Source organism: Homo sapiens, chromosome 14, assembly GCF_000001405.40.
Source record: "Homo sapiens chromosome 14, GRCh38.p14 Primary Assembly".
Taxonomy (NCBI): Eukaryota; Metazoa; Chordata; class Mammalia; order Primates; family Hominidae; genus Homo; species Homo sapiens.
This window is the reverse complement of record NC_000014.9, coordinates 47,051,508-47,070,275: the sequence shown is the minus strand read 5'-3', so window position 1 is coordinate 47,070,275 and position 18,768 is coordinate 47,051,508. Positions and strand designations below refer to the sequence as shown.

At 33.4% G+C, this 18,768-nt stretch overlaps 1 protein-coding gene across 12 annotated transcripts in view; it reads left to right on the top strand.

Moving 5' to 3' along the window:
• MDGA2 (MAM domain containing glycosylphosphatidylinositol anchor 2) overlaps positions 1–18,768 on the top strand; it is an 835,983-nt gene that overhangs the window by 605,330 nt on the left and 211,885 nt on the right. For 9 of the 12 annotated variants that reach the window (XM_011536519.3, NM_182830.4, XM_047431048.1 and 6 more), the window contains one exon: positions 8,698–9,027. In XM_011536519.3, the coding sequence (XP_011534821.1) occupies positions 8,698–9,027 (330 nt within the window). Of the gene's footprint in view, positions 1–8,697; positions 9,028–10,895; positions 11,082–11,279; positions 11,660–16,999; positions 18,750–18,768 lie in introns of those variants that run through there. The other 3 variants (NR_103766.2, XM_017021061.3, XM_011536525.3) reach the window with 3 other exon arrangements.

Genomic DNA, 18,768 nt, shown 5'->3' with positions numbered 1-18,768 from the left:
GTAAAAAATAAATCTATGTAACAGAATAGAAGGATGATTACCGGAACAGGGGTGGGATTGGGGGAGGAAGGTGGGCATGGTTAGTTGGTATAAAAAATAGTTATAAAGGACGAATATGACCTAGTATTTGATAGCACAACAGGGTGACTATAGTCAATTATGATTATTTAATTGTACATTTAAAAATAACAAAGCATATAATTGGATTGTAACACAAAGGATAAATGCTTGAAGGGATGGATAACCCCACCCCACCCAAAAAAAGAAAAAGAAATAAATCTATCTAAAGTTTAGTTAAAATAGGGGGAATGGTTAGATGCGCCAGGTCAATAGTATTCACTCTTCATCTTCTTACCAGATAAGGCAATTAAGATAATTTACATAAATTGTTAGTAATTAAAGATATTTCTCATTTAGTCATTCAGTATATCTAAGTTATTTTATTTGGTCTGTAGTGTTAAAATGAAAACATATATTTAAATGATTTTAACACATTTTTCTTTTAAATTGAAATATGCATGGATCTGGTTGCAATATTCTACATCTCAAGAAACAAAACAAACAGACAACTATCTCATGTTCTAACATGGGCAGCAAAAGGAAAGAGAACATCAAGGGAAAACTCCATGGCTTCTAATTACGGCAAAATGATTTAGAAAAATCCTACCTTTCTCAACAAACCTGACTTTACAACTGCTGTTTGAATGATAGAACTGGGACAATGTCATGACAATTGTGATGTGAATGAGAACAGTCCACTAATTTATTTTCGAATGTTAGAACTGTTCAAGTGATAGATAGAACTCAAATGAACTGTTCAAATGATAGAACTCAAATGAACCAGGGAGACTGTCATGACAATTGTGATGTGAATGAGAACAGTCCATGAATTTATTTTCTTAAACGTTATATCCTACCAGTTATAGAGGCCAGTATAAAAGAGATGTTCAAGAAAGAAGAGCCAATAATGTAAAGTGACACGAAGTGGAAAGTGTAAATAATACAAACATGAATGGGAACTAGAAAATATTGGATTAATTGATTAGGAGATCATTACTAATCTTTGAGCCCTCACTGCCAGAGTAGCATCAGTGAAACCCAGCACATAAAGTATCCTAGTGAGTGAGTGCAACTGGTATTTCACCATTTTATCAAGCAATATGCCACAAATGGTTTGAGGGATTATTGGGGTTAAGAGAAGTGTTTTAAGTTTAGAAGTGACCTAAACAAGTTTCAGTCTGAGAGAATACAGTATGGAAGAGGAAATACTGATATTTCAAAAGAAGTGGCCAACTGGATGTAGGACCTCAGGATACTGTGAGAGAGGTTGGCAGAAGGGGCAGAATCACTTTGGAAAGGGAAAGGGCACCGCTTACGAGACAGAAAACAAAAAAGCTCAAGAAAGGTAACGAAAGATTTTAGATTAAGTTAGTCTCATTATCTCATCTAATTTTCACAACTACATGATCAATTTCATAAATATTAAGGATGTACTATTTTCAAAAGGATTTCAAATGAATTATATTTTGTACCAATCTTTCTAAACTGCCACTCATCTGATAGCTGTTTCTAGTCCTAGGTCTTTAGCAACTAATAAAAAGTATAATATACCTGAACACATTCTCATTTCTCATAGTGAAAAAGTATTATTAAATTTGATAGAAAAGGTGAGCTCAAAATACCCACTAATTTTTAACATTATAGGGCCAGCAAAGTAATAATCTTCTATTCAAATAACTGGTGCTAAGGTATCATGCTAATTCAGATACCATTTACATGGTAGCCACATGTAAATGTTTTCATTTATGACACCGATAAAGACATTTTGGTAATTTATCAGCAATATATATATATATATTTTTTTTTTCTTACTTAAAATAGGATTAAAATGGTAGGAATGGCAAAATAATAATGATAATAATTATGTTATTATTTTAGTTCACTTTTTCCCCCTTCTTAAGAAGAATTTACCCCAAAAAGAGTACATTGTGCCTGCCTAAAACGTCCTTTCTTTCTCTAATTCTTACCCAAAATGCTTACCTGCTGATGTTCTATTGAGAAAGGATATTCAAGAGACATTTATAATTCAACCATACTATGCTTAAACAATTCAAATGATTAACTGTACTAATTAGCTTTGAGTAAATTCACAAAATAAATAGAGCCTTGATACTTTACAATTAAATAGAACCCCAACTTCATTTCATCGTCTGACTCTACATTTAGATTATCAGGGGTGCTATGTTAAACCACTTTCAGGAAGGGTGTAACGTATTTTTGTTCTTGCATTATTAATGAACTTCCATTCAGACTAGATTGGCAAATGGAGTTGTTAGATACAGAGAAGTGAGTATAAGAATACTTAATAGCATATCAGAGAAAAAAATTTAAAAGACCTCCCTGCTCATATCCATTTTCCAGAATCTTTAATACTTTTAAGACTAACACTGCATATACTTTTTATAATAACATAAGATATAAATAAATTAACTCAAATTATTATTTCTTCAAGCAAATGAGAAAGATTAAGTCTTGTTCATATCAGTGCTTAGAGTTGTACAAAAGCTGATGCATTTAACTCCTCTTTAATGCTGTTTGCATATTGCAAAATGTACATTTCAGAGACAGGAACAAACTGGTAAGTTAATTTTGTTTTCTAAATTGTTGGTTGGAAAGAAAGAGGCACGCGGCTCTTAGTGTAGGTGAGTTTATTAGATGAATCTGAAATATATTTTTATAACTTCAATGTACCATTACTTATTAACTTAAAAAATTAAGATCATTCCCAAGCCCTTTAGCTTTTTAAATAATAAATATTATTTTCACTAGAGAGTCACACCTTGCTGATTATTTCGTGATGCTCATAAGGGAAATGCCTACAATATTAAGAATGGAATCTAATTTTACAGTCTTTTCAATGATTCTCTTCGACTGGCAGATTTTCTTAGGTCATTGTTTCCCAAACTTTATTCTCTGGGATGCTAGTCCTCAGAGATGTTCCCCCTTGGTAGATGCAATCAGCCTCTCCAGTAATGTGACAATTTGCATGTTAGCATGTTCAAAGCTCTGAAAAGTTTGGGAGAAATACGAACTTTTTTTCATATAGTCAATTTTCAAACTTTATTTGTTACACTTTGGTTGGTTGTTTGTTTCTTTGTTTGTGGTGGAGTTTTGCTCTTGTTGTCCAGGCTGGAGTGCAGTGGCCTGATCTTGGCTCACTGCAACCTCCGGTTCCCGGGTTCAAGAGTTTCTCCTGCCTAAGCCTCCCAAGTAGCTGGGATTACAGGCGCCTGCCACCACGCCTAGCTAATTTTTTGTATTTTTAGTAGAGATGGGGTTTCACTGTGTTGGACAGACTGGTTTTGAAATCCTGACCTCAGGTTCTCTGCCCGTCTCAGCCTCCCAAAGTGCAGGCATGAGCCACTACACCTGGCCTACACTTTGTTTTAATGTAACCTCATTAACCATTTTCTGAAACAGGTTTTAGCAAATACTATTTCAGACAATGTAAATGTGCGTAGATGTCAGTTTTTTTTTTCCTTCTTCCATCTTCAGATTATCAACTGATTATCAGTTGAGTAATTATCCATATTTGCTCAGAAATGATTATTATCTGAAGCATATAAACAAGCCCTTTTGGATGAAATCCTCCTTTACAAAGAGAGTTGTCTGATAGCCGATGTCCCATACACATAGCTAACTAGTCAGTGGATGTGCTAGAATGAGGTTTCTTGTGTTGTGTACAGAATTCTCTTCCTCACATATATTCCCATGTTGATGCTGTTTGTTCATCAAGTGTTATTCTGTTCCCACAACAAAATCACTGAATCCTTGAGGACATCAAATCTGTTCTTTTTCCTATTCTATTTCCCCAGATGCATCTCAGAACACAAGACTGCAACACAAAATCAAAATTAACAGGAACTTACCATACTGAATGGAAACAATTGGCATTTGTAAAGTTAATGCTTTGAAATGTCAATTATAATTAAATTCAATAAAGAGTATTAAGTACCAACTTTAACAATGCACCATATTCAGGATTTGGGGGCAATGAAGAAGAGTAAGGTGTACCCACTCCAACCCCAGGTGTTCACAGCCCTATTGAGGAGAAAGATAGGTTCCTAGTTATAGTAGGACAGATTATACATACTATCGTTTACTATCTTTTAAGTTGCTTTGCTGATGTAACCTATTTCCAACTGCTTATTTAATTGGCATTCAGTGGGTCAGGAAAATACTTCATCTTTCACACATAGATATTTTTATTCTCTTCAGCAAAGAATAAATAGGAAATTGATTTTTATTTATCTGATTGCACTATTAATGGTTTCTATATCCAGATCTCAACAAGGTTTTGTCAGTCCTTTAGGTTGTCCAGAATCCTACAACCTGATTATAAAACATAATCGATTTAGAGAGTCTTTTCAGCAATTTATCAACCTGAAATGGTGATCAGTGGTCACTCTGTATCTTACATTCTTCTGAAATAGATACTTAACAGAAGCTAAAAAGCTGACACCTCATATTTATTATCTCCAAAGAGATGCTTTTCACATTAAAGTATAAGACTGTTGTCTTTTTTTGTTCTGTCAATAAATTTTAGTTTATTATTGAATTACTATGTATTGCATACTTCATGGAACATTTGACCAACAAAACAATGTACGTTATAATTTTAAATCTAAAACTACAATCAAGATACAATCTCACAGCCTCCTCTTTGTGGAAACCACAAGCCTAGACTTCTCTGAAGGCAATGTTCCCTCTTTCAAGCCTATGCTCAAGATGTAATCTAGTTTTACATAACAGGAGTCTTCCATTGAACCATTGACATTCACATTCACAGGCATGGACTCTTATTTCTAGGGAAGGTGAGCAACAAACCCTACCCAAATTTTTGCAGTGAGTAGCCTCTGTTTCAATACTTGGGTTTCACTCCATTTACACAGCACATCTGTGTAGCCTGAAGAAGAGGGATTTCAGTAAGTGCAATTAGAATGTCCTTGCAAGTATACTGTTAAAAAGTGAATATAGGCCAAGCCTGTATTCAATTCACAATATTAAAAAAGGGAGGCTATAGTTACATTGCAATGTTTCCAAACTGATTATCCAGAACAGAGGTTCAGCTTGATGCCAATCTTTTACATGCACTGCCAGACTAAACAAGTACCTTTTAAGGTTCATCTATCACGATTTATGATACATTAAGCCAAATCTAATGTTCTCTCAGGCTGGTGTTAGGGGATTTTCAATATTCAGACTGAGAAATTGCATTTGGGGAAAGGGATTTCTGCTATCCTTTTTCCATAGAATTTGTTTAGTTCTATAGAGTCTCAATAAGTCTATTGGACCTCTGTTATACTCCAGTACTAATTACAGATTGATTTTAAGAGTTTAAAATCTTAACTGGTAGCAGGAAATGACTTTAAATTAACATTACATGAGCTACTATAAATTGTTCACGGAAAAAGAGAGCGTTTAATTATAAACGAAGGAACCTGCTGCCCAGTTGATTAACTACATCAAACACTTTATATTTTCAAAACTCAGGCACAATTGTTAATAAGCTATTTCTCACAATGTGTCTCTAAGGGAGCCTAACTCTATCACCTTCTATTTTCATAAATGATGCACTTGATCCATAAAAATTAGATTGCCCATCTTGGACCACGTAGACATGAAAAACTGGAATTAGGTTGCAAATTCTCAATGTACCCAGACCTAGTTTACAGAGCTATGCTCTTAGTTTTCTGAGCTAAGTAAGAAAACAAAATTTCTCTGTCCTCTGTTACTATATATGAGTACACGCACACACACCTTTTATCTGAACATTTCTTTTTTGTATGCAAAACCAGTTATGTTATTTTGTTAGAGGGACAACATAAACAGAAATGACTCTCTATTAAATAATCTGTTACTTATTCTGATGTTCCTTAACTTGAGCTCACTTAGCAGACTTGTTTCTCTTTTTCCCTTTAGATTCTGTGTCATTCAGAAGACTAGTACAATTGACTTAGGCCAAATCATAGAATTATCTGATAACTAAGATTCACCAATGTTTTTCGCTATGAGTTCACTCTTAAAAGCATGCTTGATTATATTGCTTTTTATTAATTTGTCTAATTGTATATTACATATAATCTTATGTATTAATTGATTATGGGTTTATAATCTCTAATATTTTTTCTTTGGGTTTTAAAGTTGTTTTTATGAATAAATATTCTATAACATAATACAGATACTGATTTCATATTTTTATCAGTATTTTTTGAGTTGTTTAGTATTTTAAATCTAATTTGGCTGGTAAGATTGCAGTTCTCTCAATATCACTTTAATATGTCACTATGCAGAGCACAGAAGTGGAAAACAATAGCTGCATGGTAAATAAATGACAACCACTTAAACATCTCAGTTTTGTGTGTGTTTACATATGCAACCAACATATATCTTTGTAATGAAAACTATTCTAAAAGATATCCCATATGAACCCTGATATTAGTCATATGGTTATTAATAAATTATTATATGCAATAATAAAACTTTCAAAATTGTAATCTTAAAATTTCTCTTTAAAAACAGGATAAAGAAAATTCTTAGCAAATGAAGGGAAACTCTCATTTAACTGTTATGGTGCTAATAAAAGTAAATGCTCTTGACATTAAATTTTACATCTGTTTTTAACAGAAAATATATTTTATACTCATATGATTTGCTTTGTACTGTAAAACTTCAATTACATTGGCATTGTATGAGCACAATTATTATATACCAAATATGGCAGCCAGATATGGACATTTCATCACATTTCCCTTCCCAAATACAATGTAAAGTCATAGGTCAGTGCCTGTGAAAATATGAATATATGATTCTAGGTAACAGAATACCAAAATGTATCCTAATTTCACCCTAGAGTAACTTACTGATAAAGATATGGTTAGGGGTAAATAAGATTCATAAGTTGCATTTTATTATGGAAAAATGTAACAAATGACAGTATGAGAATGTGATTTAAGTATTTGTCTTCTCATGTTTTCATTAAGATTAAAACTTAGTGCATTTTCTAAACAGTAATTCAGGGAGGCTGTCCTCTGAGATTGAAACTTCTTCAGGCATATAAAATATTTCATCGCTATATATGTCTGTGGTTTTTCTAGACATAAGTATCATAAATGTTGTGTGAATAAGTTGGCCTCTAATCTATGAATATGCAGGCTGCAGTACATGAGGGCCATGGTTATGTCTATTTTGTTCATGTCCTGTAGTCAGAACCCAGCCTAGTGGCTAGTCTTGAGGAGGAGCCCTTCAAATATATCTTAAATGAAAAAGAAAGACACAAACATTGTTTTTGATATCTATGTATATCTTCCTATTGAGATGCCAACAAGAAAGCAGATGAAAATATTTGAGGCTAAAGAGTTTTAAAACTTAGAAAAGTTTTTAAGACTTAAAAGTATATTTATCTCTAGTTCATTCTGCATGATTCTATAGATTTTTATAGTGCTTACTGGTTTTTATTGGACTAACTGACAAAAATATGGTTAAACTAAGGAGGGGCTATCCAGAATGCTGTTAGCAGCCTTCTAGTGTCTGTAGGTCCTCTAAATTCATGGCATTTTTGACAATATCATTACATATTTAGGCTTAATGTTAAAAGTGGATGACCAATATTTTATCCTGATAATTGTGTTTCACTGTGTATGCCACATTTTGTCATGTAGGGATAGTCATTTTAAAGGAGAGGGAAATGGGGAAGATGATGAAAAAAAAAAAAAAGAAAAATCTGTGTATAAGAGAATCACTGTCACAAAAGAGAGAAAGCTTTTCCATATTGAGTATTGTGGTATCATTCAAAGTTCAGGCCCTTAGTAGAAAGTCTATAGATGCTCCCTTGGCAGCCTTTTGGTAGTCATTACTACTGACCTCTTGTGAAAACAGCACTGCCTTTAGACCTGGAAAACATTTCTGTTAGCATACAAACCTGTTTTCTAAGCTGTCTGTGGAGAGGTTCTTTTGGTCATCCGCATTAGAGAGCCAACAAACAGTTTTAACTGGAAACATCTATGTATGGTAGAATAGAAAAGTTCATAGTAAATGTTTTGAACATGCTTTTTGCCCCAGGTTTTCTTTTTCAGTTCAGATTATTTCAATATATGAAAATGTTTCATGAATGTGAATGGACTCAAATATTACCGAACTAGTGTTGATCAACATATAGATACAACCTTAGGAGAATGTTCTTATGTCCTTTGTGTAATATTTGAGTTGTTTGGAAAATTATACAATAACTAAGTAGTGACATAGGGAAAGTATTAGGTTAAATGAGATCCATATTCTTACTTTTAATTTTAATATGCTATGACTACATAGAATCTGTCATTTGTTCAAAATTCAATGTCAATATTTAAGTATAATTGCACATAGACTTAAGGCATTACTTTTGATATCACTGGAAAATCTTACCAAATTTATAAAAATCAGTGTTCACAGTCTTTAATTGACTTAGATTTTTTTAGATTATTTCTGGGTACCTGCATGAGGTTTTTTGATGTACACACAACTTGGATATAAAAAAGAAATATATGTACACTTTATTTGGTTTTACTTTATTTCAGCTCAGAGATGATTATCTACAGTTAATGAATCCTTAAAGTTATGAAAGTAACACTAACTCCTTATGGAATTTTTATGTTGTAGCATTAAAAAAAGGACGATTTTGGATCACACCAGATCCTTATCACAAAGATGACAACATCCAGATTGGCCGTGAGGTGAAAATATCTTGCCAAGTAGAAGCTGTTCCTTCTGAGGAGCTAACATTTAGTTGGTTTAAAAATGGTCGTCCATTAAGAAGTTCTGAGCGGATGGTCATTACACAGACTGATCCTGATGTCTCTCCGGGAACAACAAACTTGGACATCATTGATTTAAAATTCACGGATTTTGGGACGTACACATGTGTAGCATCTCTGAAGGGAGGAGGAATATCTGATATCAGTATCGATGTTAATATATCCAGCAGCACAGGTAAGAGGCATATATTTATGATGTAAAAGATGTTCACATTTAGAATGATTGAAGTTTAACAGATCAAGTAGGTTTTAGTTAAAAATATTTTTTCCCTTTTAAGTTTCCTAAAAACAAAATTATAATGTTCTGAATGCTCAATGAATACTAGGTTCTGAAACACTGTTTTATCAGTTTTGATTTAGATTTACATAAGATTTTACAGAAATTATCCAAATAAAATTAATAGCATTGACTAAGATAGATATAGGCTTATAAGTTAAATAATACTAGTATTTCATCAAAATACTCTGAAGAGTCTAAAATTATATTAATAAAATTAAACAACAAATGTCTAGAGTTAAGACAATTTTCAGAAATTTTAAACAAAGCATAACTATATAGTGCTAAGAAGAAAATACTGAGAGATAATTTAAGAGTGTTCAAATGCAAAATATGTAAGAAATGTACCCTACACTAACAAAAATTGATATGTTAAAGTTGTAGTCAGATGTGATTTTTTTGCAGAATCATATGGTAAAATCTGTTCATAATGAAAATAGTTAAGTACGAAAATATATTGGAGTGAAATTCTTTCTTTTAAAGTTAAAAACGAAAACATGTTATTAGTTTTTTCTTGATTAAATGTACATCTGTTGACAAGGAAAATTACAGGGATTTGGTGGAGGAGGGTTCATTCAGATGCTTTAAAGCCCTGTGATTCTATGAGGCACAATCAGCACACATCCAGAGTTTCAAAGTAGCTGTATTTGTTTTGCCAGCTTGTTACCAAATTGAATTTTAATGGAAGATTCTTACATCATGAAAGATAAATAATATGTGTTGAAAACATAGAGACAAATGTAGTAGACACATGATCAGGCAGCGTTTTGTATCTTGTACTTTGAAGTATTCACCTATAATTTTGTGCCTTCTCATGGTTCCAAATTGCAGTGAACACTGGATTGATTTTACTCCTTAAGAATAGAAGTTTATGATTCAGGCTAACAAAAATGTGCTAACTTTGCACAATTGTGCTTTGTTCCTAGAAGATATTCAATTTTTATCATCTATCACTAAAACAAAAGGAAATTAGGGTGATGAAAAGTACTTGTGTTTGGACATTATTTCTTTTCTAGCTTAAAAAAAAGCTAGAGACAATAAAAACATTTTTAAAAAAATTCTAACATATTTAAACGTTGGTGCTAGCGCTAAGAGATGGATTATTTTAGGATATCTGAGGGAAAACTGTTGATACACACAGTCAGTTATCACTTGTTTATGTATTCATTCAATCAACAAATATCCATTGATTCTTCACCTCAGTGTGCTAGGTGACACTGTACACTGTACTGTATGACATTCCAATATAATATTTCCTGTAAGAGAGTAAGAGCAAATTTTGTAGATCCAGGATAATTTGTCCTCATTTTCTGAGGGATAGTTTCCCATAAATGTTCTAGACTTAATCAAAACCATTTCTTTGTTTGGTTTGGTTTGGCTGGGTTTTTTTTGTTTGTTTCCTTTACAGAACCAGTGACACAAAGCTCAGATCCAAAGAATCAATGCTTTTATCTAAAAGAACTCCTTTGATGGGAGCACAGTTTATATACCATTAAACTTAGACAAAAGATGGAGCACAGAATGGAGACAAGAAAGCAGCATTATATACAGGGCTCACAAAACGAGCCCTAACATTTATTTTTAAACATACTAGTTATATTGCCTGTTTGAAACTATGTGTTATATATGACAAAATAGTAAAGATGACCAACATTGATTTGTGAAATTTCCACCAATCCTTTAAAGAAAATTCAAGATTAGTAATAAGAGATTGGTTGTAATCATTAAATTTTCCTAACTATCATTAATTTGCCTGGCTACCCAAGGTAACACTATTGGAGATAAAAGAAATATATTGACTTCTTCCAAAACACTACCCCTGGAAAGTACCCACTTAACTACAGATAGATGTGGTTTCTCCATAGAATGGAAGCTCTACAAAGTCTGAGACTTTGTCTGCATCACTCATTGCTATAATCTCAATAGCCGAAACAATACATGGCACATAGAAGGTACTAAACAGATAATTATTAACTAACAAAATGACTAATTTATGCATACACCTTTCATTTTAGGTTTTCTCCCCTCCCATTGTCTCTATAATATAGACATTTGCTGTGCCTCTTACTGCCCTTATTGTAATTCCCTACTGACTTAAAGTTATTTGATAGACAAATTTATAGTGACTTAATGTTTTATCACTCCCAAAGACAGGAGCAGCTCCTCAATTTGTGGTGTCCAGTGAAAATAAAAATGCATGCCCCTTGTTCAAAAATTAATAAACTCACTATGGCAACATCAAAGCATTAAAGCAAATTTGGGGCTGTTCTAAGTGTGGCTACACGGATGGCAGGCTCTTGAGGCTAGATGGCCTAGGAGATTTTATTGTGATAGAAGGCCTACAGAAGATGATGCCTAACCTAAAGAATGAGTTACTGAAGATGATTACATATTCTGTCTTCAAGCCAAAACTGACCTTTGATGTTCCAATTTGCTTACAATAGAGTGGAATACTAGAATGCAGTATAAAGTTCTATAAATCTGAGATTGTATGATTCAACTGACATCATTAAAATGATATTTATCCCAATACTATTGAAGACTAAAGTGCTTTAATATGAAAATAGGTGTATTCTAGGATATAGTTTGAACAGTGAAAATGAATAAGCTATAGCATACAAGGAAATCTTGGATTATATCAATTTTATGAACCCTGGAGGATACTGAGGAAATTCACACAAATGGGATGAGTGAGTCAAAGAAAAGGAAGCAACAATGTAAGACATAAATATATATGTGGTGATGTGTTAGATTCTTGGTTTTGCTAGTATTTCTATTATAAGAAATTGAGCATTGACCAAATGGTCAGTAGCTGACTTGTGGGCTAAGCATTTCTTTATGTTAAATATAAGGCATTTTAGGGTGACATTTTAAAACATTTTGAAAATTTCTGAGCTTTTTGTTTTTCATATAAAATCTTACATCGAATCTCAATTGTTACTCTGTTGTTTCTTTTTCCTCTCTCTTTAATTCTTCATCATTCAATTTGAGTGTTACTGTGTTTTAAGAGTCATATAATGATATTTTTTAAGTAGAGGCTGAGATACCACAAGGCATTTTTACCTGAGACAGAAAATCATTTTTCTTAAATGACAGAGCCACATTTCAACATATGTTTTTGATGACTTTTAAAATTGAAATACAAAATATTTCAGGGAAGTAAATCCTAATTTACAGAATTATTCATATTCTCAAAAGACAATGATCTGATTTTAGAAGACAGTTTAGGGCCAGGCATGGTGGCTCACACTGTAATCCCAGCAATCTGGGAGGCTGACTCAGGAGGATCCCTTTAGGCCAGAAGTTTGAGGCTGCAGTGAGCTATCATGGTACCACTTCACTTCAACCTGGTTGACAGACCAAGACTCTGTCTCAAAAAAGCAAGGCAAGGCAAGGCAAGGCAGGGCAGGGCAGGGCAAGGTAGGGCAGGGCAAGGTAAGGCAAGGCAAGGCAGATTGGAGAGGAGAGAAGAAGGGAGGGGAAAGGAGGGGAGGGGAGGGGAAAGGAGGGGAGGGGAGGGGAGAGGAGGGAAAGAAAAGGAAAGAAGAAAAGAGAGGCCTCATGTGTTTTGGAGTTTGAATTTGATTGATAAAAACTATGATATATGTGATTATAGGTTGTCTTACTTTCATCTTTAAACATGCAAATTGTTTCATTGGGAGTATTTTTTTTTTAATTTAAAATTAGTGTTTCCTTTAGATTTCTTTCCTGTGTTATTGCTACATATACACTCTGTGTTATATGGTGATAGTACAAATAGGCCTTGCCCTTAAGGAGCTTACAATCTAAATCATCAAGACAGATTACGTAGAAACTAGGCAATATATAGTGGTTGCATACTGTGCTTAAAGCTTGATCGGACTTCTGTAGAAATTGTGAATTTTTTGTTCATGTGGGTATAAGAAACTTTTACAGAGAAATGACATTTGAGTTAAAACTTGACAAAAGTAGCATTGCGCTAGTGACAGTGGAAGGAGGATATATTTGGCAGAGTATAGAGGATGAAGAAAGTCTCAAGAATATTAAAGTGATAATTATTGTTTTTACTGTAGGGCTGATATTCATTGATATGAATATAAGCAAATTATATTGGTTTATTACAACTTTATAGTTTTTTATTACTGAAGCTATATTTTATCTGGCTAGACTGCAGGTAAGTTAAAATTGTTATAAATGTTTCAATTAAAAAATTAAATATACTATATGCTATAATTAAATATACTATACGCTATAATTCAATTTTACAAAATAAAAAAACTTCACATACTTGCTGAAAAATGCATGTGAATTTTAGCCTAAAATTTTGATGAAAGTTAAATTCTTAATTATTGTCACTTGATTGTCACTCATTTGCAAAAATATAATCGTTATACAGCAGTAGACTTAATTTTCAAAGGCATTGTTGCAAAATATCTCATTGCTTCTTCCAGTATTATTCCATGGTAGAGTCCTTGGATGCTCATTAGCTTGCACTTATTTCTTTGCATGACTTGACAAACTTGTAGGTTTATAGTAAACTCAGAAGCATCTGCATCATGCCTCGAAAACCTAAACAGTGAAACTGCTGATCTGTGGAATTCCCATGATGAGACATCTGGTGGACAAATATAGCAGAAGACTCAATACAGATTTTGATGATCTTTTTTCTACCTTGTTAGAGTACATGGACATTTTATAGGCAGAAAGTGGATCCAAATTTTGAAGTTTAAACAAGAAGCTGAAGCATAGGCATAGGTGCCTAGTGGTGACCAATTGAGAAAATCTGTTCAAAATTTTAGTTTGCTGCCACCCATCTAGTTACTATAATTATTTTAGTTAACCAGTGTCTGTACAAGTATTCACATCTGCAAAATGAAAGTTGTTGATAACACAGGACTACAGTACACAAGAAAGAAGAATAGTTAACAAACAGGAGGGCAACAGAAAAAATGACTAAGTCCAATTAATTAGATTTGCTTCCTTGTCCTTTCTCCAATTAAGGAGGAATAGAAACTCATGAAATTCTGCTGATTAAAACTGAAGTTTTATAGAATGGCTATAGTAAGGAATAGGTTATTTTATGTAAGTAGAAGTCATAAGACTATCACATAAAATACCCTGACAGAGCTTTGATCAGAGGAAGCTACCCTGCAATCAAAAGTTATGTAATTAGCATCTGAGGTACTGAACAGAGAAATATTAATTTCTTTCCTTGAATCCAAAATTGTGAAGTAAAATCCATGACCTCTGAATTAATGATGGACATCAGAGACTGGCAAACATTTCGTAAAGGGCTGGATAGTAAATATTTTCAGCTTTTCAGGCCATATGGTTTCCATCACAACTATTCCACTCTGCTATGATAATGGGCAAGCTGCCATAGGCAATAAATAAATGGGCACAGCTGTGTTCCAATAATACTTTATTTACAAAAACAGGTGGTAGCCATATTTTGCCCACAGGCTGTAATGCATTGACCTCAAACCTACACTTTTGATATCCTATTAATTCAGAAATAAAATAATTACAAAGCTAAACCTCATGGGCTTACTAGCAAATTAAACTCACATGTAACCGTTACTTGTCTATACAAACATTAATACATTTTATAAGATTGAGGTAAAATCTTATTAACAGATATAATCTAGCATTTGCTTTAATAAACTATAGAAGTTATAGGGGAGCACACAGAATAATGTTATTGAATCTAGTCAGCAAGAGTTCCATAGAGCAGCAGGTAGCATCTGAGCTGGATTAAGAATAAGGCACTAGATCTTAGGAGGAAATGAATCTCATTAGATCTTATTAGCTCACATTCACACAATCAAGAATGACCAAAGTATTTATCAGGGAGGCAATATGATCTGATTTGTGCTTTGGGAGCCAATTCAGTTGGTGAATCTGCAGAGTTCAGAAAAGAGACAATTAGAGAAATGATGGTGGAGAAATAAAAGAGAATTTCAAAAGACATTCTTAAGGCTTAACAATCAATCTGACAATGACAGCTTTTCCTGTTTCCCAAACAGTGAGACTACCTTTGCATTGTGACAGAATAGTCAGTGAATCATTTGGAGATAATGTAACAGAGAGAGGCAAAACACTTTCATTAAGATAAAAATTGCCTGGGTGACAGAGTGAGATCTGTTGGAAAAAAAAAAAAAAAAAGAAAAGAAAAAAAAATTGGACAACGGGGACAAGCAATATTTTATGAATAGTGGCTAGATAAGAAAAAAAAGATACAGAAAGCTTAGCCTAGTTTTTCTTCTAGGGTTTTTATGGTTTTAGCTCTAACATGTAAGTCTTTAATCCATCTTGAATTAATTTTTGTATAAGGTGTAAGGAAGGGATCCAGTTTCAGCTTTCTACATATGGCTAGCCAGTTTTCCCAGCACCATTTATTAAATAGGGAATCCTTTCCCCATTGCTTGTTTTTGTCAGGTTTGTCAAAGATCAGATAGTTGTAGATATGTGGCATTATTTCTGAGGGCTCTGTTCTGTTCCATTGGTCTATATCTCTGTTTTGGTACCAGTACCATGCTGTTTTGGTTACTGTAGCCTTGTACATCATTCTCAGCAAACTATCGCAAGGACAAAAAACCAAACACCTCATGTTCTCACTCATAGGTGGGAATTGAACAATGAGAACACATGGACACAGGAAGGGAAACATCACACACCGGGGACTGTTGTGGGGTGGGGGGAGGGATAGCATTAGGAGATATACCTAATGCTAAATGATGAGTTAATGGGTGCAGCACACCAACATGGCACATGTACATATGTAACAAACCTGCACATTGTGCACATGTACCCTAAAACTTAAAGTATAATAATAATAATAATAAGAGCTTTGAGACTCACTCAGGAACAACATCTGAGAAGTCAGTTAACCTCTTTGCATGTTAGATTTCTTATCTCTCCACCACAGGTTTGGAATATTTACAAGGCAAAGTTTGAGGAAATAGAATGAATGAAAGGGAGCGTAAGAAAACATTCTGCAGATTGTGTGTGAAGGGTACCATTTATTCAGTTGGACAGATAGATAGGAATCAGATAAGGTGCTGGGTAGTACTCACAATCTCTCTCATAAAAGGGCAGTTAAGTCAATGACCAATGTTCTTAAGTCAATTTAAGAAAAAGCCTGATTGATATCAGGCAGACTAATGTAGTGCAGAGTCCAGGCCCAAATTTACCTCCTAGTAGCTTTATGACCTTGGTCTGACTGGGCCTCAAAACTTTTCATCTATAGAATTATGGGATCAGCTGGAGAACTGATTTCCAAATAGTGTTTTAATGGCAATTTGGAATATTTGCAAGTGCTACTGAACTGCAGAGAGAAGCGAAATAACCAGCAGAGAATTTTACTCATTTCTTCCCTTTTCAACTTCAATCAGAGTAAAATATGTTTCTCTTGTATACATAGGACTTCTGTGTAAGATTATATTTGGACAAAGGATTCTGATTCTCAGACATATATGTGTGTGTGTATATATATATGTGTGTGTGTGTGTGTATATATATATATATATATATATATATATATATATATATATATATATATATATACACATACACACTAGGAGTATTTGCTACTCATAGTTGAAAGCTGTTGGCTTAGATGAGTTCTTCCATTCCTTTTAAGTATGTTGTTTTGCTTCTATGATCCCAAACTGTTATGCCTCGGTCATTTAGAATACAGTAATGTCACATAAAGGATGTATGTTTGTGAGAAGGTTTGAGAGAACAAAATGGTTTGAGATTAGTTGTAGCTGAAGGGATGGTGAAACATCCTCATGTTTCTGGTGAGCAATTAGAAAATCAGTTCTGATGATCAGGAAAAGGTCAGAACTAAAACATAGACTTCACAAGTAATTGTATTAATTTGAAACAGATGGGCTCACCCAAGAAGAGAATAAGAAGCAAAGCTATTACTGTCCAAGGAGATGATAAAAAAAGAAGAAACTGTGAAGCAAATGAGAATGACTGATCAATGGAAATCAAGGAAAATAAGCTCTCTAATTTGAGTAGAAAAAAAGAATATCCATGCAGTGGAAAGCTTTTTGTATTTAGAGCATCTTCACAGCCTTCAGTACTTCTTCACCGGCATGAAAATAAATGTGAATGATTGTATTTGTCCCAGAAACCATAATATTGATGCATAAATTTTGATAATGGAAGTGAGCTCTTATTTTCATTTAAGTGAAAGGATTGAATATGGAAAGAGTGAGGGAGTGTGACAGAGACCGACAGAATGAGACAGAGGATTAAGAGGAAGAGAGGAAAGGAGAGGGGAAAATGGGAAGGTCAAGATAAGAGGTCATCAGAGTTTAAATAGAGTATTTTGGTATGAAGAACATCCATCCTCAGATTATGCGGCATCTTCTTAAACAAGCCACAGGTAGCATTATAGACACTCATAGAAGGTGACAATTATATGAATCCTCTTTTCAAGAAGACCATTTAAAGGAGTGAAAGGGATTATTTAAAACATCGTTAGTTGCAAGTTGTTTTGAGAAGCATAAGTTATATCAATATTTTACTAGTTATATTTTGAGGGACATAAATATAAAAATGGAGAGTATTCTATTATTTCCTGTAATTGTTCAGTAAACATTAAACATGTTTTTCTATTAGAATTTTTCACATAAAATTGAATCTGTATTACTATGGAAAGAACATTGGATTTATAATTTCCCTCCAATTATCAACTGAAAATACTCCAATATTTTCCCCAAATATCAGAACAAAGGTTTGACTTTACAACTTATTATTTAACAGTGCTTAATTAGCTTTTGTCTAATTACTGTCCCATGTGTTTGGGACTTTCTTCATTTGATAATATTAAATACTTTTTCAAATTCTCAGGTGATAGGAAAGCAAGAGCAGATCAAAGAGAAATGAGAGAGTATACCCAATATATACTTCCTGTGCCCTTCTTTCTTTTCTAATGCAAGCAATGGGAACATAGAAACTATTTGAATTTTAAACGACTGGATATAAAATTCTCCAATCCAATGAGGGCTGAAAATAATTTTTAGCTTCAAAATTTGCATTTAAAATGATAACAGTGAGTAATGATGTATTAGAGTTAAAGAAACACTTGTGACAGATATCTCCATTCGCTGATAAAGAATAAATGCTTCCACCAGATTTATAGTTAACAATGGAATGTACATTACAGCATATTATTTTAAGGCTATAATACCAAGACCAATCCTGAAGTTTTTTATTAGAGGAGAAGATAGAGGTATAGGAAATGGTATGTTCACTACTAATGTAGTTATGATCACACTTCAGATTTTTATGGTCACAGATGACACTACTAACCTACCATTCACAATTGGCAAAAAGAAAATTAAATAGCAGTATTTATGATGATTGGATCCACAGGCTAACAGTTTCATCACCATTTTCTTCTATGTGGTAGTGAAAGCTCTAGAACTCTAGACCTCTTAGCAACAGAGAGAACAGTTATTAAAGTGATTTAATTTGTATGTGGTGTGTTTAAGTTTCATTTTACAGTTGGAATGTCTTAAAGCTCTTTCTTTCAAGGGTTCCAAATAGCTAGAACTATGATTAGTGCAAAGAACTTCTCCCCTCAAATCTGCTTGCCAATAAATATCTTTTCAGTTTTAAAAGAACCTAATTTTCATAATCTTT